At 49.5% G+C, this 1686-nt stretch overlaps 1 annotated feature.

Annotated features, from left to right (window-relative positions):
• Positions 316-835: an enhancer, noted in NCBI's record as "H3K4me1 hESC enhancer chr15:70615294-70615813 (GRCh37/hg19 assembly coordinates)". NCBI's record gives its function as "activates a minimal SCP1, AML or CMV promoter by ChIP-STARR-seq in naive H9 embryonic stem cells {active_cell/tissue: H9 hESC(naive)}" and the evidence as "EXISTENCE:reporter gene assay evidence [ECO:0000049][PMID:30033119]".

Genomic DNA, 1686 nt, shown 5'->3' with positions numbered 1-1686 from the left:
AAGCTCTTTCCCTCCCTGGGGGTTGGTGGTGTTTGGGGAAGAGAAGGGGAGGGGGGACTGGCTGAGTGTGTGGTTTTCCAGTAAGATCATCTATGCGGCCTGTCTTGCTTTGGTCTCCAGTAAATAATGGTACTGCTCACTCCTGCAGACAGAGGCAGGGCTTGGCAGGCAGGTCTGAGTTGGAGGCACTGACCTACATAGAGCAGGGGACAGGGGAAACAGGTGGGGCATTGAAGGCCTTTCAGGGACACCCCTACCTGCTGCTGGTGGCTGCTCATTGATTCTGACTGCTGGGGCCTCCCCAGGAGCTGGGCAGGCCGAGGTGGCCCGAGGGACACTTTATCCATCTCCCTCTCCGGCAGCTCTCTTTCTTAGCACCCAAGGCTGGGCCAGGCTGAAGGAACCAGGGAGGGATGGTTTCCACTCCCCAGTTTCTCACCCCAGTAAATGCTTGAGACATCCTGATGAAAAAGAGTTCGGCCTGGAGCCCGGGCAGCCACCCTGCTGGAAGGAGCGGAGCCTGCTTTCCTGGCTGTGGAATGACGGGGTCAAAGCGAGTTCAGGCTTTGCTTTAATTGAGTAGAAGATAGTTCTTCCTTAAGGGAGCCCTGAAACAGTGCTTCGGCAGAGCAGAATGACTTCCCATATTGTCAGAAGGGATTAGCCTGGCTGGTTTGTAAATAAAGAGTGATCCTTCTTTCCCCTCTAGGACAAACAGATCATATTTTCTTCAGATCACCAGGGCCGGGGCTCCCTCTAATCAAGTCCTTGACATTTCAGTAAGACTCAAGGAGTTACATGTTTTCCATGATTGTGCCTTTGGTAATTACCCATTTTCCTAAACGATTGCTATTTTCCAAATTCAAAACGTTTTGAGGAAGTGGGAAAATGAAATGTCTCTCCAATGACGTGAAGATGAAGGGGAGGGACAGAGGTGGAGGTGCGGAAAGGAGCAGGTCTCTTGAGGCTGGGACAACATCATCCTAATAAGCACCACGGAACAGATCCCTGGACCACTGAGGTGCTTTCTAATCTATTCATTTTTCCATTCCTTTGGGAAACAATAGTTTCTGAAGCCCTTGCCAGGTGCCAGACGTCATGCTGGCCACCGAGGGCAGAGTAAGACCTGTTTCTGCCCACTCCAAGGAGCTCCAGTCTAATGGGAAAGACCAGCATGTAGGCTAATTACAACAACAAAACGTCTTGAAAAATAAACGTCATGGAATCCCCAAGTAAACAGCAAAACAAAACAACAAGAGAAAAATGAAACGAAACCAAACCAAAAACCAAAAGCTTTGTCTGAGTAGAACAAGGAAGTCTTCACAGAGGAGGTGATGCGGTGTCTCCCAGGATGAGTAGGAGTTGGCCACCCTAGCAAAACGGTAACAGAAATAGCTAACCCAAAATGTCTGGTGCTATTCTAAGGGCCCTACACATACGCATTCATAGAATCCTTACAATCTTATGAGGCAGATGCTTTTTTCTTTAGCTATCCTCCTGCCTTGGCCTCCCAAAGTGCAGGGACTATAGGCATGAGCCACTGCACCCAGCCCAGATGCTATTTTTACCCCAATTTTCAGATGAGGAAGCTGAAGTGCAAAGACAAGAGAAGCTTTCTGGACCAGGAAATGGCATGTGGGAAAGGACACACTCCTGGGAAAGTAGGTTGTGTTGATGGACAATGGG

The sequence above is a fragment of the Homo sapiens genome, chromosome 15 (genome assembly GCF_000001405.40).
Source record: "Homo sapiens chromosome 15, GRCh38.p14 Primary Assembly".
Lineage (NCBI taxonomy): Eukaryota > Metazoa > Chordata > Mammalia > Primates > Hominidae > Homo > Homo sapiens.
The sequence above is the reverse complement of the archived record's forward strand: the minus strand, read 5'-3'. Positions and strand labels throughout refer to the sequence as shown.